The sequence below is a fragment of the Homo sapiens genome, chromosome 12 (genome assembly GCF_000001405.40).
Source record: "Homo sapiens chromosome 12, GRCh38.p14 Primary Assembly".
Lineage (NCBI taxonomy): Eukaryota > Metazoa > Chordata > Mammalia > Primates > Hominidae > Homo > Homo sapiens.
Window position 1 is genome coordinate 129,757,497 of NC_000012.12, and position 26,324 is coordinate 129,783,820.

The 26,324-nt window shown below is 43.7% G+C and overlaps 1 protein-coding gene across 1 annotated transcript in view, besides 2 other annotated features; it reads right to left on the reverse strand.

Annotated features, from left to right (window-relative positions):
• TMEM132D (transmembrane protein 132D) overlaps positions 1 to 26,324 on the reverse strand; it is an 832,300-nt gene that overhangs the window by 685,771 nt on the left and 120,205 nt on the right. The gene's annotated exons all lie outside the window — the stretch shown is intronic.
• Positions 13,540 to 14,123: an enhancer, noted in NCBI's record as "OCT4-NANOG hESC enhancer chr12:130255581-130256164 (GRCh37/hg19 assembly coordinates)". NCBI's record gives its function as "activates a minimal SCP1, AML or CMV promoter by ChIP-STARR-seq in naive and primed H9 embryonic stem cells {active_cell/tissue: H9 hESC(naive and primed)}" and the evidence as "EXISTENCE:reporter gene assay evidence [ECO:0000049][PMID:30033119]".
• Positions 14,124 to 14,707: an enhancer, noted in NCBI's record as "OCT4-NANOG hESC enhancer chr12:130256165-130256748 (GRCh37/hg19 assembly coordinates)". NCBI's record gives its function as "activates a minimal SCP1, AML or CMV promoter by ChIP-STARR-seq in naive H9 embryonic stem cells {active_cell/tissue: H9 hESC(naive)}" and the evidence as "EXISTENCE:reporter gene assay evidence [ECO:0000049][PMID:30033119]".

Consider the following 26,324-nt stretch of genomic DNA (forward strand, 5'->3'; position numbering starts at 1 on the left):
CTGCCTACACACCAGCTCCATTTGGGCGTCTTGATAACTTCCCAAACTTCACGTGCCCAAAGCCAGCCCCATGATCTTTCCACTCCCACCTACTTCTTCTCCAGTATTTTCTTAGAAAAGGGTGGAAATCTGGACAAATCCTCATGACTTCCTCCAGAGCTGCCACCCTACAGCAGCCACCTCCAAAAGGGTTTCCTGAGGTCCTTCCTTAAAACTACTCGATACAGCCAGAGCAATGTTTTGTGTGTTTAATGCAAATATAATCATGTCTCCACTTGGCTGGAAAGCCTTCAACAGGATCCCACAGCTTAGGAAAAAATCCAAAATGTGTCCACCCAGAACCTTGCTGACCTGCCCCTCAGCTCTACCCTCTCTATGTCTGCCATACTGGCTTTATTTTTGTTTTATTTTATTTTATTTTTTTGAGACAAAGTTTCACTCTGTTGCCCAGGCTGGAGTGCAATGGCATGGTCTCGGCTCACTGCAACCTCCGCCTCCTGGGTTCAAGTGATTCTTCTGCCTCAGCCTCCCAAGTAGATGGGATTACAGGTGCCTGCCACCATGCTTGGCTAATTATTTTGTATTTTTAGTAGAGACAGGGTTTCACCATGTTGGCCAGGCTGGTCTCGAACTCCCGACCTCAGGTGATCCTCCTGCCTCGGCTTCCCAAAGTGCTGGGATTACAGGTGTGAGCCACCACGCCTGGCCCACTTTTATTTTATTTTTTTTAAGTGACACCACTCTTCCTCCTGCCTCAAAACTTTTGCCTATGTTATTCCCTCTGCCTGGCATGAAGATATTTCTTCCTCTTCAACTCGAATAATTCCTACTTATTCTTTATGATTCCACTTAAGTGTAAGTTACTCAGGGAAATGCTCTCTTATCCGGATTATAGCAGATTTCATGCTGTAAGCTCTCACAATTCCTCCTTAATAAAATTAAAATTAATTATTAATGTGAACCCTTCTAGCATGTTGTCTGTTGTTTTCAACACAAGAATAAACAATCCATGAGAAGTCACACCTGTTTTATTCTCCTATTCCCAAGAGTATTCCAAAGTGCCTGGTAATATATGCTCCTAGTATACACTTCTTGTATAAGAAAGTGAATGAATGTATCTAACACATATCATAGGTAGTGCCAATTCCTTTAATAACAGATATGAAATTTGGCAGCTTCTGTACTTGTTTAAAATACTTCCAACCTAAATATTTTCTAAAGGGCTCCAGAATTAGGAGTATTAAAATTTCAGTACCTTGGAAAATTCTGCTCATAGTTATTGTTTTTGGAAAACATATTTTGGAAGCTCAGAGAAATACTGTATAATGTCCTAGCCTCAAATCTATTGAGGTGATCTAGTAATTTTATAGAGGTACAAACTGAATCAATTGAAAGGCAATAAATCCTTTGTGGTGTGTGTTTAATTTCTTTCTTTCTTTCTTTTTTTTTTTTTTTAGATGGAGTTTCACTCTTGTCTCCCAGGCTGGAGTGCAGTGGCGCAATCTCAGCTCACTGCAACCTCTGCCTCCCAGGTTCAAGTGATTCTCCTACTTCAGTCTCCCCAGTAGCTGGGATTACAGGTGTGCATCATCATGCCTGGCTAATTTTTGTATTTTTAGTAGAGACAGGGTTTCACCATGTTGGCCAGGCTGGTCTCAAACTCCTGACCTCAGGTGATCCACCTACCTCAGCCTCCCAAAGTGCTGGGATTATAGGCGTGAGCCACCACGCCGGGTCACGTGTTTAAAATTTCTTAGCCACCAAGCTCTGTTACTACATTGTGACTACCAATTTGGACAAAATTAAGAAAAACAATGTGTTAGGGTTTGGCCTTCAGTCATTTTTACATGCTGTTGATAAGAGCGTAAATTAGGACAACTTTTATGAGAGAAATCGGCTCTAAGATCCAAAGGCCCTTTGAACTAGCAGTTGAGAACGGAAGGAAGCCTTACTCCCGTGGCACTACAATGCTAACGCTAGATCAGGCACTTAGTCACCATGGGAAGATAGGCAGGTTCGTTCACTGCTCAAGCTTCAGTTTGCTTCTCTGTAAAAGAGAGTTTATTCCAACGCCTTGCTCATTACATGAGAGAGTAGGTAAAAGTCCCAGTGCCAGTGCCAGACATATTCCATCATTCAATATATTTTAGCAATTATTTGTATCCATTCTACATCTAGGAATCTATCCTAAATAGATCCTAAAGGAAAAATCAGAGATAGACAAATGTTGATGTATACAGCTGTGTTACCAACATATTATTAACAATAAACACTAGAAGCAAAGTCATTTTCCTAAACCATGAAACTATAGGTTTTCTAGAGCAGTGGGAGAATACAAGATAAGCCATGAAAATCAGATTCTCAAGACATTTAAATATTTGGTGGTGCTGTGGGCCGTGGATGCCTTCTTATTTGCCTTTTTTTTTTGAGACAGGGTCTTGCTCTGTTGCCCAGACTGGAGTACAGTGGTGCAATCATAGCTCACTGCAGCCTCTAATTCCTGGATTCAAGCAATCCTCTGCCTCAGCCTCCTAAGAAGTTGGGGCGACAGGTGTTTGCCATCACACCTGGCTAATTTTTTAAATTTTATTGTAGAGATGGAGTCTCGCTATGCTTTCCAGGCTGGCCTCGAACTCCTGGGCTCAAGCAATCCTTCTGCCTTGGCCTCCCAAAGTGCTGAGATTACAGGCATGAGCCACTGTGCCCAGCCCATCTCCTCTTTTTGAACACACGGGAAGTCTGCCTTTCCCAGTATCCCCTGAAACCTGAATGATGTTATATGACTTAAGTCTTAGTGCAACAGACAGAAATGATGTAAGCCACTTTCTTTTTTTTTTTTTTTTTTTTTTTTTTGAGATGGAGTCTCGCTCTTTTGCCCAGGCTAGAGTGCAGTGGCGCGATCTCGGCTCACTGCAAGCTCCGCCTCCCGGGTTCACGCCACTCTCCTTCCTCAGCCTCCTGAGTAGCTGGGACTACAGGCCCCCGCCTCCACTACAGGCGCCCGCCTCCACGCCCGGCTGATTTTTGTATTTTTAGCAGAGATGGGGTATCCTGTTAGCCAGGATAGTCTCGATCTCCTGAGTTCCGGATCCGCCTGCCTCAAGCCTCCTGAAGTACTGGGATTACAGGCATGAGTCACTGCGCCCGGACTTTTTTTTTTTTTCTTTTTTTAAGTTCTGGGATACATGTGCAGAATGTGCAGGTTTGCTACATAGGTATACATGTGCCATGGTGGTGTGCTGCACCCATCAACCCCTCCTCTAGGTTTTAAGCCCTGCATGCATTAGGAATTTGTCCTAATGCTCTCCATCCCCTTTCTCTGCAACCCCCAACAGGCCCCGTGTGTGATGTTCCCCTCCGTGTGTCCGTGTGTTCTCATTGTTCAACTCCCACTTATGGGTCAGAACATGTGGTGTTTGGTTTTCTGTTCCTGTGTTAGTTTGCTGAGAATGATGGTTTCCAGCTTCATCCATGTCCCTGCAAAGGACACAACTGTTTCTTTATAAGTTCTACACATACTGATTTAGTGTTAGTGGGGAAAAGAAAAAAAAAACAGGCGGGGTTTTCATTCAGCAGCAGACAATGGATGCGGGAGGAACTGGAGAGATCAGAAATGTGGTAAACGCTGGTTTGGTTGCCTCCCATAAAGGACCTCGTTCCAGTGTCATCCTCCTCATCCCCAGAGTCACTTGGATCTGTAAGCCTTGACTGTTGGTTCAATGTCTCGGTCACCATCACCAGCCCCCATCTTAGACCCCAGGATGGACTCTAGGGCTGGACCACCATGATGAAAGACGGTGGGCACGGTTCCTGCACACTTCTGGAGGCGGGTGCAGCACCACGATGGATCTGACCTCCCACCTGGCTGCCCCCAAAGGGCCACTAAGCGCCTGGAACTGCAGAGAAGTCACTGCCCACAGAGCTATGAACTAGTGATACTCGGGAGTCAGGAAGGAGTTGGCAGAACGAGCCATTCCCATCCTCCCAGGCCTCTGAGGGCCTCTCAAGACACAAGCACGTGAACAAGGCACTGCTGTGTTTTCTGGCGAAGGTCAGGCAACTTCGCAGACAACGCTTCCCACTCACTTCCCTGTTCCCTGTCACTCTTCTGCTCTCTCTCGGTTCTCCGCGGTTGGCCACAGCTCCCCTCCCTTCCACAATAAAGTATAACATGTAAGTATTCCCACGCGGTCTGCTTTCACAGGGGATTTGGGCTACGATAACTCCCAACAAGCCCTCCAATAAGCCTCTATCCCCTTTTAACTTCCAACTTCTGTTGGAAGCTACAACAGGTTCCTAGGAAGCTGCCTCCACAAATCCCTACCCCAGAAATGAGCCTGCAAGATCTCAGCCAAGTCACCAGATTGTTTAATTCTCCTGACCAGCAGCAACTGGCACGCAAGTAAGCACATGGCCAAAATGGGTCCTAGGAGAGTGAATGTCAGGATGTTATATTCAAATACTGGATTAAAGTGCTCACAACACCTCGGGCCTGGAATCAGCACTGCAATTTTTCTGTCATGAGAAACTCCAGCCTGCAGATAAAGATGAGACATGAAGAAGAAGACTAGGACAATTAGAAAAGGGAACCTGGGGCTCCAACTGCACACTTAAGCCCCTGGATCAATCTGTTCCTGATGCCAAAAGAGCTCTAAATGTTGCAATTATGTGTGTCCATTTTTTTCTACTGTCTAAACCGATTTGAGCTGCCTATTCTGTTATTTGCAAACACAACATCCTAGCTGAGGGAAGGGATGGATATGTGATTGACTAAAGTATTTCAAAACTAATTTCCTAGTCCCAATGGGAACATGAGCTGCCACTCTCTGCTTGGTTAAGATGGGCAGATTGAATTTTTTAAAAAAAATCAACTGATACTTTTCCAAAAAGATTTGTTTTTTTAAATCCCAGAACAAGACACTATTACCGCAGCGAGCCCATCCGTGTGCAGACCATCATTCCCATGATGTTTCAAATCCCTGTTCTGTGTAGGTGTTTTGCTCTGTCTTCTTTTCACCCTTCTGAAGTCTCAGGCAGGTAGACTCATTTTAAGGGCAGCATTAGTGTTCTGCCTTCATAAGCACGGAGGGGAAACAGACAGTGCTAATGGCTGGAGATGTGTCATCAAAGCTGCAAACCCTTGGGCTTTCTGTCACGCATAACTTCTCCTGACATGGAACCTGGCCCGGTTCACTGGAGCCAGGCAGTCTGTTTCTAGAGCCTTTAAACATATATTGTACAAATCAAAGGGTTTATCCTTGTTTGGGGAGATGAACTGAAAGCAACTGTTATCACTATAACAGTTCTATGCACGGAGGAGCTGAAAAAGCTGTCTAATATGTTTTGTACCACCCGTGCAAACTCGCTAGGGTGGGTGGAAAGCAGCTATTGAACTCTGCAGTTGTTGTTCTTCCTACACCCTGCTTGAAATGTACAAAAAGAAACATGCTATGCAGATGGAATCAACAGCCCACTAGCTCAGCGCTCCACGGCACCTTTTCTAATATTTGCATGTAAAAGGAGAAATACGCCTCCTAGTTCTTAAATCAGAGAGTGTAAACTGGCCATCTTTAGCTTTTTGTTGTTGTTGTTTTTCCCTGAGACAGGGTCTCACTCTGTGGTCCAGGCTGGAGTGCAGTGATGCAATCTCAGCTCATTGCAGCCTTGACCTCCTGGGCTCAGCTGATCCTCCCATCTCGGTCTCCCGAATAGCTGGGACTACAGATGCGTGTCATTATGCCTGGCTAATATTTGTATTTCTTGTAGAGATGGGGTTTCCTCATGTTTCCCAGGCTGGTCTCAAACTCCTGGGCTCAAGCTATCTTCCTGCCTCGGTCTTCCAAAGTGCTGGGGTTACGGGCATGTGCCACCATGCCCGACCAAGAACTCAACTTTTAAAACTTGAGAAATTTCCAGTGAGGATCTAGATTTCTGGCTTTTTTTTTTTTTCTGAAATAGTAAAATATCAGCAGCTTTAGGTTTGGCACTTGGAACGCCAATAATTGACTGATACTGAGCTATAAGGCCTACCTGTCCGCATACCAGCTTGCTTCACTCCATGGGTAACTGGTCCCAGAGGTTATGTGAGTTGATGGCACTTTCTTTGAAAGCATGTTCTGTTAGTATTTTTTTGCTACTGTTTCTGGGTTTTGAGACGTTTGACTGCCCAGAAAAGTTTTCCCAATGACTTTATAACTACAGACTCAGTCCAATGGGGTTCAATGATGAGTTGCTTTACAGTCACCATGGACCCCCAAGGCTGCAGGTCCTGTAAACTGAGTGTGCCCAGATGAAGCAAGTGTGCCCAATTCATGACCTCAGAGCTGGCATGAATGAAAAAGTCAGCCGCAGGTGGAACGTAAGTGCTCAGGTAAAGGAACAGGAACCAAATTAAGAATCGAGAGGTGCCCTGTTTCATTGCAGTAGGAACTTTAGAACCAAGGATACGCAGAGCCTCTTGGCATGATTTAATCAGATCACACCTCGTTGCATTTTCCTACCTTTCTCATGGTTACCCTCTGCCTAGAGAACCTGCCCCCATGCCCCAGCTTTGAGTATTGCCTCATATCTCCTTGCCAGTTAACCTTTCAGTAAAGCCTTTGCTTTTCTCAAAAGCTTGCACCATAATGGCGTCATCAGGTAGCAAGCCCATCACTTGGTAACAACATTGCTGCTTTTAGAAACACAAAGCTGTGGTAATGTCATCATATTAATTTTTCTTTCTCTTGCCTCATAAGAAGTGTGTGACATATATAATTACAATTTGTGTTGATACCCCTTCAGCATAGGAAAGGAAGAAGGAAAAAGTGAAAATATAGGACGTCTTCCTAGACTTCCACCCAAAACTCAAATGACAATATTATAGTAGGGTTAAGAAAGGTGGAAAGCAAAATTACTTCAGCACAACAGGAAAATAATTGTAAAAGAGCTTCAAAAATTACAGGCTTTTCTTTCTGGTAACCTTTTCATTGGACACAAAAAGGTTATAGAGATTTTAGTAACAACCAGTTTCTGAGAAATCAATATCACATTCCTTGTTAAAAAAAAATGCTATTACGTGTGTGTGCACGTGCATGTGTATTTGTATGTGTGTTTGTATGTGTGTGTGTGTGTGTTTATGTGATTAGAAAACTCTGTTCATTGCCTCCTAATAACCAACCCTGCCTGGGCACAGTAGGTTATACCTGTATTCCCAGCACTTTAGGAGGTCGAGGTAGGAGGATTTCTTGAGCCCAGGAGTTCAAGACCAGCCTGGGAAACAAAGTGAGCTCCTATCTCTACAAACAAATTAAAAAATTAGCTGGTGTGGTGATACAAGCATATAGTCCCAGCTACTCAGGAGGTTGAGGTAGGAGGATCGCTTGAGCCTGGGAGGTTGAGGCTGCAGTGAGCTGTGATCACACCATCACACTCCAGCCTGGGGGCCACAGCAAGACCCTGTCTCAAAAAGAAAAAGAAAACACCCCACTTATGTCCTGAAGAAAAATGCCCTATTTGTTCAGGCAGTGAGGAAATACAGTCTTTGTCAGGCAGCAGCTAGCCCTCCAGGAGCCCTAGAATCAAATCATTGCTCTAATCCAATCATGAGGATTGCATCCCTCTTGGCCTGTGATTATCTAAAGGTGGGCTGTAGGAAAATATTTGTGCTTCAGTGGAAAAGTGTGGATTGTCTAGACTCTAGAGGGCATCCTTCAGTTATCTGATTCTGTGGAGGCAATTCTACAACTCTGAAAGTTGTAGGTAATTTATAGCAATGCAAATAATTTGTCTACAGAAATTCAAATTCTGGGTCAGGTGCGGTGGCTCATGCCTGTAATCCCAGAACTTTGAGAGGCCAAGGGAGGCAGATCACCTGAGGTTGAGAGTTTGAGACCAGCCTGACCAACATGGAGAAACCCCATCTCTACTAAAAACACAAAATTTGCCAGGCATGGTGGTGCATGCCTGTAATCCCAGCTACTCAGGAGGCTGAGGCAGGAGAATCGCTTGAATCCAGGAGGTGGAGGTTGCAGTGAGCTGATATTGCGCCATCGCATTCCAGCCTGGGCAACAAGAGTGAAATTGCATCTCCCAAAAAAAAAAAAAAGACCCAGAAAAAAAAAAGAAATTCAAATTCTGTTCTGTCCACAAGAGATTAAACCAAATTCCCTCTTCCCATCTCCTTTTGTGGATACCCTTGTGTGCTTCCTTTTTACATGTGTTTCAATATCACCCATCTATACTTGTACCTGTTCTTTGGATTCTCTTTTGTCCTGGTTATAACATCTGTTTGGTATCCTCATGAGTTAAATAAACTTTAAACCATGTTCATTTTGATATCCACAGGAGAGTCATGATTTTGCCCTTCTTTGAAGATCTTCTTTTAACATGGCCGATGAGCTGTGAAGCGGCACGTGCTAGGAAGGGCTCTGCAGTAGGCTGTTCTGCTCACCAGTGTCTGCTTTCTGTTCCTTCTGGGAACATGGTAGAACTGCACTTCCTGATTTCCTTGTGGATGGGTGGCGCCCTTGGACTTGTTCTGGACAATGAGGCGGAGGCAGAAGTGCCCTGTGTGATTCTGGGTGGAAAGTTAAACATTTCTGCACAATGCTGCCTTCTTCTATTCCTTCCTACACATTGTCCAGGAAAGTTGAAATGGGGTGGCTGCTTCCTGGACCCCTACTGACTGCCAGGACCAGAAGCTCCCTGCTGACCCATGATGGACATGAAGCATGAGCCAAAATTAAGCCTTACTTGTTTTTAGCTACTACTACTTAGAGATTAGCCCTGACTTATACTCACTAGAATCCATTCCCTCCCCACAATAAAATGGTAAAGCCTTTTCAGGAGAATTCTATGTGCGTGTAACTTTTCACTCCTGTGTTCTTTGAAATTTTGAAATGTGTTAAAATACACATACCATAACATTTACTATCTTCCTCATTTCTTGCATAGTCTAATAGTGTTAAGTACTGAAGGAAATCAGAATCTATCACCCCAAAATATGCCTCTCTGACACAAATATTTTTGAGCTGAAAGCACTTAAAGAAGCAGAAGTTATAAAAAGGGCTATTTGAGCTGCCCTTTCTTACCTATAGCAAGCCACAAAAATTCCTGAGGGAGAGCTATCTTCCCTGTATCAACACAGGGAGATAATGCTTGTCTCCAGTGGCTGGGAATTGGGTCTGCAATGGGTCTGTATAAATATACTGAGTAACCCTTATCCTTTATGAGCTCTTATACCCCCTCTATGCACCTCCTAGTGACTCTCCTGAAGGTCACTATCCCTAGCCCAGGCCCCTCTGTGTTGCCTTTGTGAGGTAGGAGGCAGGCAGGACTCCAGACTGAATAAAACCTGAAAGAGGTGCAGGAAGCCCAGCTCCATAAGAGACGCCCACCAGTACCATGACAGTTTAGTATTGCCATGGCAACACCCGGAAGTTACCACCCATTTTCCAGCTAATACAGATTAGCTTGCCCTCTAACTAGCATATCATTGAAAGTGGGTATAAATATGACTGCACAGCCGCCCCTGGGCTGTTGCTCTCTGTACACTGCCCGTGGAGTAGCCCTGCTCTGCAGAAGCAGTCACAGAGCTGTTACCCAGCTGCCGCCTCAATGAGGCTGTTTAATCCTACCACCTTGAATTACTTTCCAGGAGAAGCCAAGAAGCTGCCCTGTATCAATTGCTCCAGAAAATGTATTGTTCTTTTTCTGAAAAGCATAAAAGCTTTCTGCTTTGGCTGTTTCTTTGGGCCTTCACTCTCTTGTGAGGGTTCCCATGTACCTGTACATCTATAATTAATAAAACATGCATGCTTTTCTCCAGTTAATCTGTCTCGTGTTAATTTGGCTCCTAGACCCAGCTGAAGATCCCAGTTAAGAACTAAGATGGGTAGAGGTGATCCACAGCTTTCCCTACAGTATATTCATATTGCTGTGTAACCATCACCATCACCCACCCCCAGAACTCTTTTCATCTTCGGAAACTGAAACTGTCCTCAGTAAAAAACAAATCCTATTCCCCATGTCCCCTCAGCCCCTGACAACCATCACTCTACTTCCATCTCCATGCATTTGATCTCTCCAGGAGTCTCAAATGGCTGAGATCATACAGCATTTGTCTTGTCATGAATGGCTTTTCTCACTTAGCATAATGCCCTCCATGATCATCCATGTTGTAGCATGTGTCAGAGTTTTTGTTTTTAAGGCTAAATTATATTCCACTATGTGGACATGCCACACTTTATCCATTCATCCATCAATGGATACTTGAGTTGCTCCCACCTCTTGGCTATTGTGAGTGTAGTAGTCTGTTTTCACGCTGCTGATAAAGACATAAAGATTTACCAAGACTTGGTAATTCACAAGGAAAAAGAGGTTTAATGAACTCACACTTCCACGTGGCTGGGGAGGCCTCACAGTCATGGCAGAAGGCAAGGAGGAGCAAAGGCACATCTCACATGGCAGCAGACAAGTGAACAGAACTTGTGCAGAAAAACTTCCCTTTATAAAAGCATCAGATCTTGTAAGACTTATTCACTATCATGAGAACAGCATGGGAAAGACCCATCACCATGATTCAGTTACCTCCTACCTGGTCCCTCCCATGACATGTCAGAATTGTGGGAGCTATAGTTCATGAAGAGATTTCTTTGGGAACACAGCCAAACCATATCAGTGAGTAATACTGCTATAAAATAAAGGTGCACAAATTTCTCTTTGAGATTCTGTTTTAAATTCTTTTGTATATATAGCTAGAAGTAGAATTGCTAGATCATATATTGATTCTACTTTTAATTTTTTAAGGAAATGCCATATTGTTTCCATAGCAGCTGTAAATTTTACATTCCCATCAACATTATGCAAGGTTTCTGCTGTCATCACATGTTCTCTTTTCTTGACAGTGGCCATCGTAATGGGTGTAAGGTGACAGTTATCTCATTGTGGTGAGGAGAATGTGGTTTTTAATTTTTTAAGGACGGTTCCTTAAAAATTTAAGGAACCATCCTTAAAAAATTAAAAGTAGAATTAATATATGATTTAGGAGTTCTACTTCTAGGTATATGTACAAAAGAATTGAAAACAGAATCACCTCTTCCTCTTTCTTCTGCCTGGAACGGGGCTGAGTTATACATCATCAGTTCAAGACCTCCCAATGACAGGATGAGAAGGAAATTAACATGAAAGATGGTAGAGGCGAAACAGGGACAGTGCTGGGGAGCCTGATGGCCCTGTCAGCAGCTCTGCCGATGCTGGCAACAGCCTCCCTCCAGACTTCTTGTTAAGTTAGAAAAATGCACTGCTGTTTACTCAAGCCACAAATAAATTGGGCTTTCTGCTATTTTTAGCCAAAAGCATTCTTACATACATCAGGTGATACAGATATATCGTGGATTTTCAACGAACTTTTAGGATACTGTGGGATTGCACCTGATGTTGGCAGTTCAGTTCTAAAGGTACCAGCTAAGGAGAAAATCACATTTGTTTCCAATTATCCTTGAAAAGCTCCTCGAGCCCACATCAAGTACAGTAGGATTGGTGCATGTAGGCCAGCCTGTTCAGTTGTGGCCATGGTGGAGAAAATGCTTACAGACTCACAGTTTGAAGAGAAGATTTCATCATTTTATAAGAGCTTCACTGTAGGGAGGGAAGGGATGTACTCATTAGCCTGAAGTTGGTGCCCCCTCCCCTAGGTCCCGGTATTAGTCTGTTCTCAAACTGCTAATAAAGACATACCTGAGACTGGCTAATTTATAAAGAAAAAGAGGTTGAACGACTCACAGTTCCACATGGCTGGGGAGGCCTCACAATCATGGCAGAAGGCAAAAGTCATGTCTTACATGGCAGCAGGCAAGAGAGAATGAGAGCCAAGTGTAAGGCGAAACCCCTTATAAAATCGTCAGATCTCATGAGACTTATTCACCACCACAAGAACAGTATGGGAAAAACCTGCCCCCATGATTCAATTATCTCCACCTGGTCCCTCTCATGACACGGAGGAATTACGGGAGCTACAATTCAAGATAAGACTTGGGTGGGTACACAGCCAAACCGTATCAGTCCCTGACATGTCAGAAGGTCAGGCTTTCTTGCATACCTACATGCCTAATACTGCCCTCCAAAGCAGCCTTGTTGAAGAGACGGATAAAAGCCCCCTGACTCTCAGGAAAAGAGAGTCTTGGGGAAGAATTACCTTGTAAGTTAGCCAATCCTTGGAAGGCTATTAAAAACAAGTGCTGGCAACAGGCATTTGAAAGAGGTCTTAACTGGTAAGGATTTTTGAATCTATTAAGGGGTGTTTATCCAGGGGGTAAAACATTCAAACTTGTGAAGGACTCACATAGTTGTCCAGGGAAGCAGAAAACTAAGGATCTGCTTATGAGTTAGGATTGTACATACTCAGACTGGGATTTTTTTTCCCCTGGGACAAGGTCTTGCTGTGTCGCTGAGGCTAGGATGCAGTGGTATGACCAAAGCTCGTGCCACCACACCCGACGAACGTTCTTTTATTTTTAATTTTTGTGGAGATGGGGGTCTTGATTTGTTGCTGAAGCTGGTCTCGAACTCCTGGGCTCAAGCAATCCTCCCACTTCCCAAAATGCTAGAAATAAAGGTGTGAGCCACTGCATAGGGCCCATGAGATTCTTTGTGGGTTTTTTTGGTTGTTTTTTTTTTTTTTTTTTGAGATCAGATCTTTCTCTGTCACTCAGGCTGGAGTGCAGTGGCACAATCTCGGCTCACTGCAACCTCTGACTCCTGGGTTCAAGCGATTGTCCTGCCTCAGCCTCCCGAGTAGCTGGGATTACAGGCACATGCCACCACACCTGGCTAATTTTTGTATTTTTAGTACAGACTGGGTTTCACCGTGTTGGCCAGGCTGATCTCAAACTCCTGGCCTCGTGATCTGCCTGCCTCGGCCTCCCAAAATGCTGGGATTACAGGCGTGGGCCACTGTGCCTCCCCAGGATTCTTTTGAGAAAGTGGGGAAGGTGCTTTTTTTCAGCCATATTTATGCACCACATTGGAGATAGAAATTCTTTCAGCTCATCTAACATGGCACTGGAACATATTACTGAGAATCAGGGAAATACAGATGCCACTCGACTTACAATAGGGCTACCTCCTGTTACACCCATGATAGGGGAAAATATCAGAAGTCAGAAATGCACTTGATACACCTAACCTACGGAACATCACAGCTCAGCCTAGCTTGCCTTACGCAAGCTCAGAACACTTACATTTTCCTACAGGTGGGCAAAATCATCCACCATAAAACCTATTTTATAATAAAGTCTTGAATAGCTCATGAAATGTATGGGATACTGTACTTAAAGTGAAAAACAAAATGGTTGTATGGCTGCTCAAAGTATGGTCTCTACCGAATGTGTACTGCTTTTGCACCATTGTACAGTAAAAGAAACTTTAAGTCAAACCATCGTAAGCCGAGGACTGTCTGTAGTTGTCCTGTGTTTAGTTAAATACTCGTATCTCACTGAGTTCGGAGAGGCACAGGTGAAGGGAGGTCCCTGAGGACATGACCCCTTCTTGCCTTCCATCTTGCTCCCCTTCCAGGGTTTCATGAGCAGAACAGAGGGTGCAGCCCGCACTCGGGCTCCAGCTGTGTTCCTCTCTCCCCAAACAGCTCATGTCTGCAGAATGTGTGTACATGAAGCACGCTCACCACTCTAAGACGAGGGTACTCCCCAGGCGGATGATGTACTTCTTGCCTTTGCACGTGTCATTCCTAACAGGCAGCACAGGGCAGTGGTTCCATTCCTGGCTCTACCGCATACCAACTGTGCAGGTTTGAGGGGATTAACCACTCTGTGCCTCAATTTCCTCATCTGTAAAATGTGGATAATAACAGTCCCTGCCTCAATGGGCTTCTGTGATGATTCCAGGAGATAACATACATAAGCTGCTTCACCTGTGCTGGGGGCTCAGTAATTGCCAGGTAAGCATCCGCTACTATCATTAGCATGACAAAACACAGCAATGGGTCTTAATTGCTACTTGAATGGATGCAGCTATTCATCTTGCCACTGCCGGTTGCCTATTTGCAAACTGGGGCCATGTACGTGCTTTGGAGTAATTTTGAGAGTTCATGTTTGCTAAAGGCACCTTGTTCCTTAACACCAAGAATCTAGACTCTCAAGAGCAAGAAGAGTATCAAAATGGTCCTGTGATCCCAGCGATCCAATGCACTTGGCATCTGACAGCCATTTTTATTGGGTAATCCCGGTTAACAATGGGACATTTACTACCCTTGCCTTTGAATACAGTGTGGGGTTCTCTGATGACGAGAATTCAGGTAAACCTGTCAATCATATTCACACACATATACATGCATGAAAGTTTAACAGAACCTCTAGGACTTTACAAATATTAGCTCATCAATTTGCACAAAAGCTCTATGAAGTCAGTACTATTATGCTTATTACACAGACAAAGAAACTGAGTCACAATAAAGCTTAAATAACCTAAGTTATATAAACAAAGGACGGCAGTGATATCTCCCCCAAGAAAGCAGAGTGCTGCATTTCCCCCAGTGGCAACCCTAGGGGAGAACTTGCCCAGAGGTATGCCTTTTATCATTCACAAGTGGGATCACACAGTGGAAGAAGCCTTTTTAAAAAAAAAAATTAATGTATTGTAAAACTCCCTTTGTGTGATAAACTATTGACCTGTCTCATTTTTTTAACAGGTGCACGCCATTCCAAAGCATAGCTGCAACAGAATTTTCCTTTGAGTACTTTCATACACCTATAATTTAAATTGATTAAGATATGCATCAAAAATTCAATAGTATAATTTGAGGGCTTTACAGTAAGAAAGTACAACTCTTGTAAGAAGACAAACTGTATCTTTTTAATTTAATGATGCGGACTTCATATATAGTAAGAAATTTAAGTCATTTAAATGGGAAAAAGAGTCCAGTATCATATAGGGGGGAAAAGTTGCATATTTTAAAGAAAGTAAATGTGTATTTCCATTTTAACTACTGAAATCCAGCCCACGACTCCTGGAAAGGGCTTCCTATCAACATAACATTTGCATTCCATTTCCCATGAGTCATAAATCCCGTGGCATGGTCTGCAAAGGTCCCCTGAAAACAAGGCTCTCCTGCAGCATACATGTCAGCAAACCCATGAGCTATTGTCTGTTCCTACTCTTTCATTTCCCCTGATAACAGCATCTAGATGTTTCTAAAAGCAGAACACAAAGTCAAAGGACAAATCAGAGCCTCAAAAGAGAGCCTCTAAGCCAGCAGAGGCCCAGGGCTGTGTAACTAACTGCTTTGCCTCCATTTTCAAAGCTCATTGAGCCCAGGTCCTGGGGACCTGTGAGGGCGGAAGCTGCATTGCATTTAGGCAACTCCTGGCTCGGACTTCCTCCCACATCATTTATCTTTTTTAGCATCTTTGAGGAATGGAGAAGACATAGATGCTGACAGAGTGCGCAAGATTCATTGCTGTACCACTGAGAAAAGGAAGCAAGAGCAAACAGGACTCTTTTCATCCCTGCAGAGCAGAAAATCATGAGGGAAGAGTCAGCGGTTTGTTAGAACAAACAAGGGGGAAATACAGGCTGCTTTTCTGGGCAGCAGCCACTCCTGGGTATGCAAGGATCTAGGATACAAATGCCCTGTAGGCATTCCATTCGTAGGGATTCATGCTGACGAAATAATTTGCTAAATTAAAAAAGATACAGTCATTCACTTAATTACGCATTCGACATCGTGCGCCTCCTGTATGCTATGCAAACTTCAGGTGCGAGGGCGGCGGCAGTGAGCAAGGCAGACACATTGCAATGGAGTGAAATGGAACACAAACAGGTAGACAGCCAACAGCTTAATTGTGGAGGCTGCCACGTGTCATGAAGACAATAGCATGAGATGACAGATGAGCGGCAGGTAAGGGTGGTGGTGGTGATTTCAGTGGAATCAGCAGAGCCTTCACTCATTGGAGACACTGGAGGTGAGGGCTGGGAATGAGAAAGGTTGGTCGGTTGAGTGAAGATATGGAAGCAGCAGGATGTTCCAGGCAAAGGAACAATTAGTGCAAAAACCCAGAGGGAGAGACAAGCTTCACTTCTCCCGAGAACAGAGAGAGGCTTGCGTGTCTGGAGGGTATATATTGAGAGTATCTTTTTCCACCGCTAAAGATGCTCAGAGCAGGATTAACTAGACCAAGGCAGCATAGGAGCACCCTAAATGTCTATGAATGGTTAAACAATAAGAGCACGTCACTGGATGGAATACTTCATATTCACCAGGACATTCTTGGTTGGAAGTAACATAAATCAACTTGGGCTGGCATACAGAACACGGGGCCTCACCAAGTGGTATTTATTTGAATCCCAGCTCTGCCACTTACTTGCCATGAAGACTTGGGCAAATTTCTTAATGCCTCCATTTTCTCATCCATTAAATGAGAATGCTAAGATATACAGCTCTGGTTACTAAATGAGACAATGCATATAAACCTGGTCCTTGGTACCAGGAGCATAGGATACACTGAATACATGTTTGCTACTATATTCTAAGATGGTGGTTGTGGAAACCATGGTGAACCAAAAAGCAGGAGGCTATTACAATAGTCACACACAGAAATGTAAAATTCTATCTGTTTTCAGTTCTGTGGATGAGAATTGCAGGACAGGAAGAGGAGTGTTGCCTGACCAGGGGTGTGTCCCAGGCCCCCCCAAAGAAGGGGCAGTTTATTAATGGCCACATGGGAACACATTGTACATGGCCATTAGGATACATTTTCTGTCTTTCATCTCTGCCTCTCTGAGGACTTGGATTCATTATTCTTTCTCTTTACGTCCTCATCTCCCTCTACTTCCTGGGCCCACCCTTCAGATCTCAAGGTGACCTGCCCTGGGTCCAACCTCATGAACAGTGACTGAACCTCTGTCTTGGTTTCAACTCTGTGTTTGCCAGGAAGGGATTTTCATGGCTGCTGCCTAGATCGGGTGTAACCTGAAGGTAAGGCCCATCTCCATCAAGCAGGTGGGGGGCCCGTTGCAATCACGTCGGTTGTGGGATGGGGCAGTAAATACCAGAGATCATTGGTAACAGTGAGGGAGCCAACTGTAACCGGGGTAGAGACTCCAAATATAAGACTGCCACAGTTACACAGTAATTGTAATAAGAGCAGAAACTAAGACCAAGTCTCTGATGGAATGTGATGTGAACAAAAGCAGAAAGCTCCTGTACACAATGGTCACAGCTATGAGGCAGAATGCACAGATGTGGACCAAGACTGCAAAGGATTAGGCAAAAATGAAGACACCATATGGCACCAAAACTGTCCCTGGCTTAGTCTCTACAGTGAGTCTGTTGGGATTCTAACCAGTCTACCGCTTTCGGCAGCATGACCTTGGACACGCTGAGTAATGGATCTGTGACTCGGTTTCCCCAGCTGCAAAATGGAGATGATGACAGCACCAACCTCACAGAAGTGTGAGGATTCAGTAAGTGTGGACAAATCAGGGGCACAGAACCATGTCAGGCCTTCATAAAGCACTGGGGAAATGTTAACCATTATTGTTACAGACATTTATTTGAAGTATAGTTTCCTTTCTTCAGGTTTTTCTTAGAACACAAAACAATCTCAATAAATGCCTAGCCTTAATCCACACAAAAGTGTAATAATCTAAAGAGGAAAAGATGTATTCTTCAGCTGTTCAATCATTAAAAGTGTTGCTATTGATTCTGATTTTTATCGTGTATTTATTCAAGGTATTCCTTCTCTTTCCTATCCATGCCACTCCTGATTTTCTGCAAGTAAGGCTTTGGATGTCAATGAGGACACCGTGAAATATCAAACATTTGGGCGGAATGCCACCCCAGCTGCAGATGACAAGCAGCGACCTTGCCCAGTCTCCTACCAGAGTGAGTTTCCTGCTGTACCAGAACCAGGCATGGGAGAGCCACCAGCACTGTGCAGAGGCCCCTCTCAAGCTGCCAGAGAAAAGTACAAATCGCCCCTGTTCACTGGTTGAGTGTCGCTGCAGTTTTCGAGGCTGTCACGTTTCTGCATCCGTTAGCATGTCTGTGACAGAAACTGAGGCCAACTAACAAAGGGATGGAAGCAACAAAGGGATGGAAGCATCCCTGCAGAAGGGATGCGAGAAGATAAATAAAAACAGAAAAATGCAGGAGAAAATCAAAGAGAAAAGGATAAAACTGCCATAAATGGCATCCAGTTGCGATCTGTTAAAAGGGTTCTGACTTTATTCCTGCCTCCCAGGCCCCTCCTCCTACACTCTGTCCCCACAGATCAGCACCTACAGGCATTAAATTTGTTGCACAAAAATATGCACCTGCCATAATTCCAGAGTCCCAAATATGGTGAAAATATAATTATCTATTCATTGATCTATTTAACTGTAAAGGACTCTATCAATCGTCTATCAATAAGGAATTTTATATACCAATCTATCTATCCATTTGATAATCAGTACCCCAGGCTATCCTGCTTCAATAGTAAGAAAAAAACATTCTCCTCTGTCTCGGTGAAAAAACAAGATTCAGCAACTCATGAGCCTTCAAATTGAGCTGTAATGAATATTGTGTCGTGCTGGTGATTTCAACCGAATAATTCCAGGAAGGCTGGAAAAGGGGTCGGTCTATCTTCATCCCTTTTGTCGCCTAAAAGCAAAATCATGAGAAAGAAGTCCAGAATAAAGATGGTAATCCTGGGCTGTAAATGCTGGAACCTCATCCATGATGCCAATTGCTCCATAACCACACGGACGTGAACCCCAAAAAGCATGAGATACAAGGTGAGAGTAAACACTGCCCCTGTATGTACAGGTAATCCCTCTGCTAGCTGTGGGTTCTAAGGCCGACTGCTGAAAAGATTTGACGGAAGTTGCCACTTGGGAAGCTTTTTTTGGAAGTTAAAACAGAAAAACTCAGCGCCTTCCAATGATGCTTTATTTTATTTGTCAAATATTCATTGTCACCCACCCTTACCCCAATTTCCCAAGGCAACTCTTTTCTGGTTCTTTCTCAGGGACCAGTGGTTGACTACTAGTAAAAAGGAAAAAGCCGAATATTCACCCCTCATGCTTCATACGAAATCACATCTCTACTTTGCTGCTTGTATTTTGGAAAAATTGCTTAATCCATTTTTTTCAAGCAGTAATACACTTGGTGATAAACATATTTAAATTGAATACTTCAGCAACGAAAGACTGTGTTCCTTAACCATTTATGCAAGTTCTAGCTTCTTAACTAGGAAAGAAATAGTGGCAACGACATGTCAGGTCTGTAGCTACATTTTTAAATAATGGGCTTCAAAAAAAAAAAAAAAAAAAGAAAAGGAAAAATCCCTTCCTCTTAAGGAGGAAAAAAAAGACATCTTTTATCACAAAATCTGTTCCTTCTTTAGCTGTTTTTAATCGATATCTACACCTTTGGGTAGGAAAATAAATCTGTATCTTTGAATAGCGTCATTTCCAACAACAGAGCAAGGCTCTGAGATGTGTTCTTTTTTATTAACAAAGGTGTTGTTAAATATCTGCACCATATATGTTTGATTTAGTCACTTTAGAAAACCCTAGAGAATGGCTGAGGGTTGTTAGCAGCTGGGTCTATAAATTGTAAACCTTCCCCAGGGCAAAGTGCCACTTGTGATGTTTGTTACTGTTATTTCATACGACATTTATTTAACCAGGAATAGGAAGAGTGGTGATTCAGCGGTGGTCTGATACCACAAAGGTGAAAAGCGAGTCAGGCAGGAGGTGCCGAGAATTAGGGCACACACCCTGTCTCAGAGGAAAGTTGGGGCTCAGCCCTACTCGTTGTCAAGAAGCCAGACACCCATTTTTTTCTATGTGATATCACCTAGAATTTTTAAATTAGCGATTAATCCAAACTTTAAAACAGACTCTGCGTGGGAAGAACAGAATCCACTTGCGAGCTAGATTCAGGCTGCAAGCTCCTACCTTCCCAACCTCTGGTTAACAGCTTCCTTGTTGTACCAGAACGGCCACCCAGCCTACTTCATCCTGGCTCCTAGCGTCCAAGCAGCAACTTCAGCAAGCTACTGCAACTACTGCAGAAATAATAACAGACACATACAAGAAGAACCCAGCTCTGGAAATATGATCAGGGGTTTACTGTAAACAGAAAGAGGACAACCACTTACCATGTATATATGGTAATCTGTGTGGACTTTATAGTACAACTCAGAGGAATTTCCTCTTTTCTTATCATATACCAACTTTTTACCACCCCTTTACAAAACACAAGCATTATCAATTACTGCCAAGAGCACCTCACATATAAAACAAAAAAAATCAAACACAAATAAATTTCATTTAATTCAAAAAATAAATTTTAAATCAGAAATCACTCTAGGCTGGGTATGGTGGCTCACCCCTGTAATCCCAGCACTTCGGGAAGCCGAGGTGGGAGGATCACTTGAGCCCAGGAGTTCAAGACCTGCTTGGGCAACATAGCACATCTCTACAAAAAATAAAAACAAAAAAAAATAGCTAGGTGTGTAATCCCAGCTACTTCTAAGGCAGGAGGATCACTTGAACCCAGGAGGTCAAGGCTGCAGTGAGCCATAATCACACCACTGCACTCCAGCCTGGGCAACAGAGTGAGACCCTGTCTCAAAAAAAAAAAAAAAAAAAAAATCACTCTTTACCCTTATATAATTTTTAACAATCTAAGAAAAGAAGGAATCAGAAAAAAAAAACACAAATATTTTTTATTTCTCCCATTCTTTAAAAAAAATTACCAGAAATTGCCCCCTTTAAATTTCAAAATTTTCCTAATTTTACTGTGCCAGCCCGACTCTCATACCTCACTGATTATATCATTCCCACACCTGATGCTCCAACAACCCAGGGTATACTTTTAGCTCAGTCCTATAAAAGGCTTCATAACCTGCACTGATCTGGATTCAACGCAGCTGCCGATGGACAAGAAAAACACATCTGGAGACTCTGCAGCCGTTCTTTCCAGCTGTTTGTGACTCCCGAAAGACACGTGAGCACTTGGCACCATCAGGCACACATCAGTTCGGCTCTCTTCCACCCCCAGGCACAGTCATCCTGAGCATTGAAGACACTTTAGAAAATGGTTGGCAAGTTGCTCTTGCACTGGGATAATTTTAGACAATCTGATACTTTGACGCTAAAAACATGTTTGGAATTGGTGACTGTAAACAATAATCGTAGCTTGAACTCTGACCCCGGCATGGTTGTATTTTGACTTACCTGGGTAGGATGCACTATGGAGGGAGCTGCTATAATCCTAATACTGTGGTGCTTAAACTTTTCGACATTATTTTGCTTTCTGTCTTGGGAGGGAGGTATTCTTCTATGTCTCTATTAGCCACTTCTGGACTTTTCCATCATCATTATATAGCTGCTTACCTCGCCTGTGGCAACAGACACTGGGTTTGTGAATAACAGGACAATGATAAAGGCTATGTGAGCAAAACGGAACAGCAGCTTAAAAAAGATAAAAGTTTCTTTCTCTCTCACGTAAATACTATCTAGTGCTAAGCACTCCTGGGCTAGAATTGTGCCTCCATGGCTGAGAGGGAGCCTGACCCCTTGCCTCTTTTTCCGTCAATGTCCTTACCATTCTCATACAACGAGGCGACTGCAACAGCTCCAGGCATCACATTCCAAATCCACCCAGCAGGAAGGATACAAGGCCTTAGGAAGGATCCATCTGGAAAGCCCCATTTGATGCTTTAACATGCAGAGTAGAACGGCTACACCCAGCTACAAGCAGTACCAGGAAATGAAGCTTTTATTCCAGCTGGCCATGTGCTCAGTGATTTTTGTTTGTTTGAGACAGGGTCTCACTTTGTCGCCCAGGCTGGAGAGCAGTGGTGTTATCTCTGCTCACTACAACCTCCACTTCCTGGGTTCAGGTGATCCTCCCACCTCAGCCTCCCAAGTAGCAGGAACTGCAGGTGTCCACCCACCATGCCCAGCTAATATTTTGTAGAGATGAGGTCTCATCATATTGTCCCAGGCTGGTCTCAAACTCATGGACTCAAACCACCTGCCTGCCTCAGCCTCCCAAAGTGTTGGGATTACAGGTGTGAGCCACCACACCCGGCCCAGGTTTTTGTTATTGTTTTGGGTTTTTTTGTTTGTTTCTTTTGTTTCTTGAAAGGAAGAAGAGCAGGTATTGGAAGAGACCATCAGAAGGCCCCTCCACAGTCAGGCCCCACCCATTTTTAGACACAGCTCTTGTTCTGGCGAGTCTCATTACTTATGGTTTATTCTGGGAACAGGATTTAAGGGGTCGCCTCCCCACTCAAACTCATGACGGCCTTAAGGTCTCTATGCCACTTGGGGAAGACAGAGAGAAATGAACTGAGCTGCGAGGACAATAATTAAAAGAATCTGCAGGTGAAGCACATTACTATTTTTACCAACGTGCTTTTACGCATTGACTCCAGAAATCCTTACAACCATCCTCCGAGAAAGCACTGTCAGCCCCATTTCATCCATGAGGAATCAGGAGCCCAGAAGACTAACTGCCCCAGGTTTCACAGTTAGGAGTGTGAAGAGCCGACTCCACACCCTGAAGCTAAGAGCAGACTTCTTAGCTTCAACTAAGACGCTTCTCCCACACCCACCCGCAAAGGGGCATTCAGATGTGTCTCGCCCAAACCATCCAAGCCCGAGCACCGGTCGCTTTTCTGCCTTTGAGGTTTCTCACTTGAAAGACATAGTTTGATCTCCCCGTCCCGCTGTGTGCTGGGCACTGTGGACAGCGTTGACCCTCCCCCTCCGAGCATGAACAGGTGAGTAATGTCTGAAAGAGGACACTCAGGGCTTTGGCTTAGCTTGTAGAATTTGTTGGTGGGGAGGGGGGGGGCCGGGGGGGCACAAAATGTTTTTAAATCTTTTGTGGAAATTATTTACCTTTTAAAATGGGAGATTTTTGCATAGAAATCTCGACATCTACCTGTCCTCAGGAGAGAGGAAGATCCAGGAACCCAGAGCCCTCATTCCTGGATAGCGACCTTTGTGGTAGCTGAGGGGCAGCTGTCACTTCCAGCCAGGAGGCATCTCTGTGGAGACCCTGCTGCCATCTGGCTGCTTCCCCAAACTTTGCTTTACTTGCCTGGCTTTGAGGGCACTTGAGTTTATGACCCATGGGAAGGCGGGGCAAAGACACAGATAGTTATGCTACAGGAAATGTCCGTAATTGGTGAATTTCAGGCTACCACAAGCCCCCTGTACCTGCTGCATAGATAAATACCTGAAAAGGACCTCAGGGCCATTCATCCGGTACCTTTTTACCATCATTAAATTGAAGAGAAAATTGAAACAGTGGCTGGGATCTCTCTTTGATCTACAGCAAAGGGATGTTAATAACCATGTTTCTGGGGAGACAGCTGATTAACACGGAACTTAGCAGTATTCCAGTAACAGCCATAGTCAGGAACATTCGTAGTGAATTAATTTCTAACCAGCTCCTGAATCCATAAATGAGAGGATGATTTGAGTTGTCTGGCCACTCCCTGCTGGGGGGTGACAGCAGCTTGAGCTCTGTGGGCTCAAAGGCATCTTTTGGGGGCACAAAGTGAATGACAAGGAGTTATGCCATCAAAAGCTTTGTTGCAAAATATATATTTTAAATCTATAAACTCCTAAGAGCAGAGTTTGGTTTTAAGTCTCTTAATGATTGTACAGATGCTAACAGTACAGAAACCGCCACATGTCTTCTTCTTGGCTCTTTATGCATAAATGTTTAGGTGGTTCATCTGTCTTAATCTATGGTTGCGTCACAAGATTTCTGACTTGTGTTTCATAGAAATAGTTCTAAACACCCAATCAGACAGGCACTGCAAAGCAGGCTGAGAAAACTCTGATGATGGTCAGGTATGAGACATGTTTCTCAGTACGTTAATCGGGGTACCATAAACAAGTGATTGTAACATATTTCAAAGACGTTGTATATTATAAATGTATACAATGATTATTTGTCAATTTAAAATGATAATAAGGTCATCCAAAAATACAATAGCTTACATAAGACACAGGTTTACTGTTCTTTTTTCCCCCTCATGTAGAGAGTCCTGGCCTAGTAGGGTAGTTCTGAAACTCTCAACATATGGCTTCTACCTCTGGAACCAAAGTGGCTGCTTTGGTTACCACTATCACATCTGCATCCCAGCCTGTAGGAAGCAAAGAACCAGAGAACACACATTTTGTCTTTTTAAAGGAAAGGCCTAAGTAGTACATGAGTTGCTTCTCACATCACATTGGCAACAGCTTCATTGCAGCGTGGCTTCACTGAGATCCAACAGAGGCTGGGAAATGTCATCTTTAGCTGGGCATCCATGGGCCCAGCTAAAATCCGGGAGTTAACTTATTCAAGAAAATATGAGAAAAGATCCTGTTTGGCAATTAGCAGTCACATTTACACTGGAGACAGGAGACCTTGAATTTTTTTAAGAAGTTCAAGATGCTACCCTTTCTGCACACAACCTCGTATGTAATGCAATATTAACTCTTGGAAAAGAGGATGGAGGAGCATTCATGACGAGGTTAATGTCTCATATGATCCCCAATGTAAGAATAGACATGTGAAAACATATAGCATAGTACAGGCTGAGTATCCCTTACCCGAAATGCCTGGAACCAGAAGTGTTTTCGATTTTGTTCAGATTATGGAATATTTGCATCACACTTACTGGTTCAGCATCCCTAATCCGAAAAATCCAAAATCTGAAAGCCTCCAGTGAAAATTTCCTTTGAGCACCACGTCGGCACTCAAGAAGTTTCCAGTTTTGGAGCATGACGGATTTCAGTTTTTCGGATCGGGAGATGTTCAACTGTGTTTCAGACCATGGGCTCTGGAATTGGAAACCTTGGTTTGGAATACTGCTTCTACTAGTACCTTGTGGCAGTTTGATCTTAGACAAGTTGATTTACCTTTCTGTGCCTTTGTTGTTTGTACAAATGTGGTGGGGTGCCCGTGGGGGTGGCGGCTGATTGTACCTGGCTTATGGGATATCATGAGAATTAAGTAGCACAATGCTTACAAAGGCCCTAAAATTGCGCCTGGCCTCAGCCCCATTCCTGCCTGTGCCCCAGCCACTGGGAAAAGGGGAAGGGAAAAGGAAGCTCAGGTGTATTCCTGATAAATCCATGTAAGTCACACAGGTGTATTCCTGATAAAGCCAGGTAAGTCACACAGGTGTATTTCTGATAAATCCAGGTAAGTCTGATAAATCCATGTAAGTCACACAGGTGTATTCCTGATAAATCCAGGTGAGTCACACAGGTGTATTTCTGATAAATCCAGGTAAGTCACACAGGTGTATTCCTGATAAAGCCAGGTAAGTCAGTCCCACGGCCTCCCCTCGAGGCGTAGGAGGCAGAGAAGTGGCACCTTAACACTTTTTTTCCTTCTCAATATTCTGAGGAGGAGACAGGCTCTCTGTGATATGGCTCAATTCATGTTCATGATAAACCCCTAATCATATTTTCAGAGCTGGATTCTTCTTGTTTGTGTCTGTTATTTCTGTAGTAGTCGCAGTAGGTTGGTGAAGTCTTTGCTAGTAAACGTCGCCCTAAACTTAAAAATCATAACATCATTCTGCTTCTCTGAAACAATAGCTGCAATTTCTCAGGCTCTTGAAGCACTAGGATTTCAACATTAATGCAAGTGCTTTAGAGGAAGAATTGCCACCACATTTACATGCACAGATCTCTTTCCAAAGCTCTTCAAATGTACAACCCTGAGAGCCCCAGAATCAGTTTAAATCAATTCGGAATGTGCAGGTAAGTTAACAGTGTTGAGCATCCATCTACCTTCAGAGGGTCAGAGGGTTGGAAACACACTAGAAAAAGTCTCATGTTCAGAGACACGAATGGTCAATAATATGGTTATAAATATCATCTTAATTCTGCAAATAATTTTACTATTAATAAATTCCTTTGCCACATACACATCCTCCTACAGTATTCTTAGAACACTCCCATCTGATGGTGTTGGACTTGCCTCTTTCCTCACAGGATCTATGTGTGAACAAACGAGAATTATATTCCAGGCGTACTTGTTTTCATTGTAGGGCCCTGATGTGCAGAGGGAGTGCTGAAGAGACAAATGCCGCTGGGAAAAGTGGCCTCATTTATTCAAGATCTGATAGGTGTTTCCATTGGAACCAAATGTTCAGAACGTCTGCACATTAGAATATTTTGGTTTGAGCCCAAATATTTCTATTTGAGATTTATGGAAAATGAAGACAGTGGATGGCACTAGACCAGCGTGTAAGCAGGAGTAACATCTGTGATATTTAGCGACTGGCTAAATGCTTGCTCGCTGTAAGTTGTGT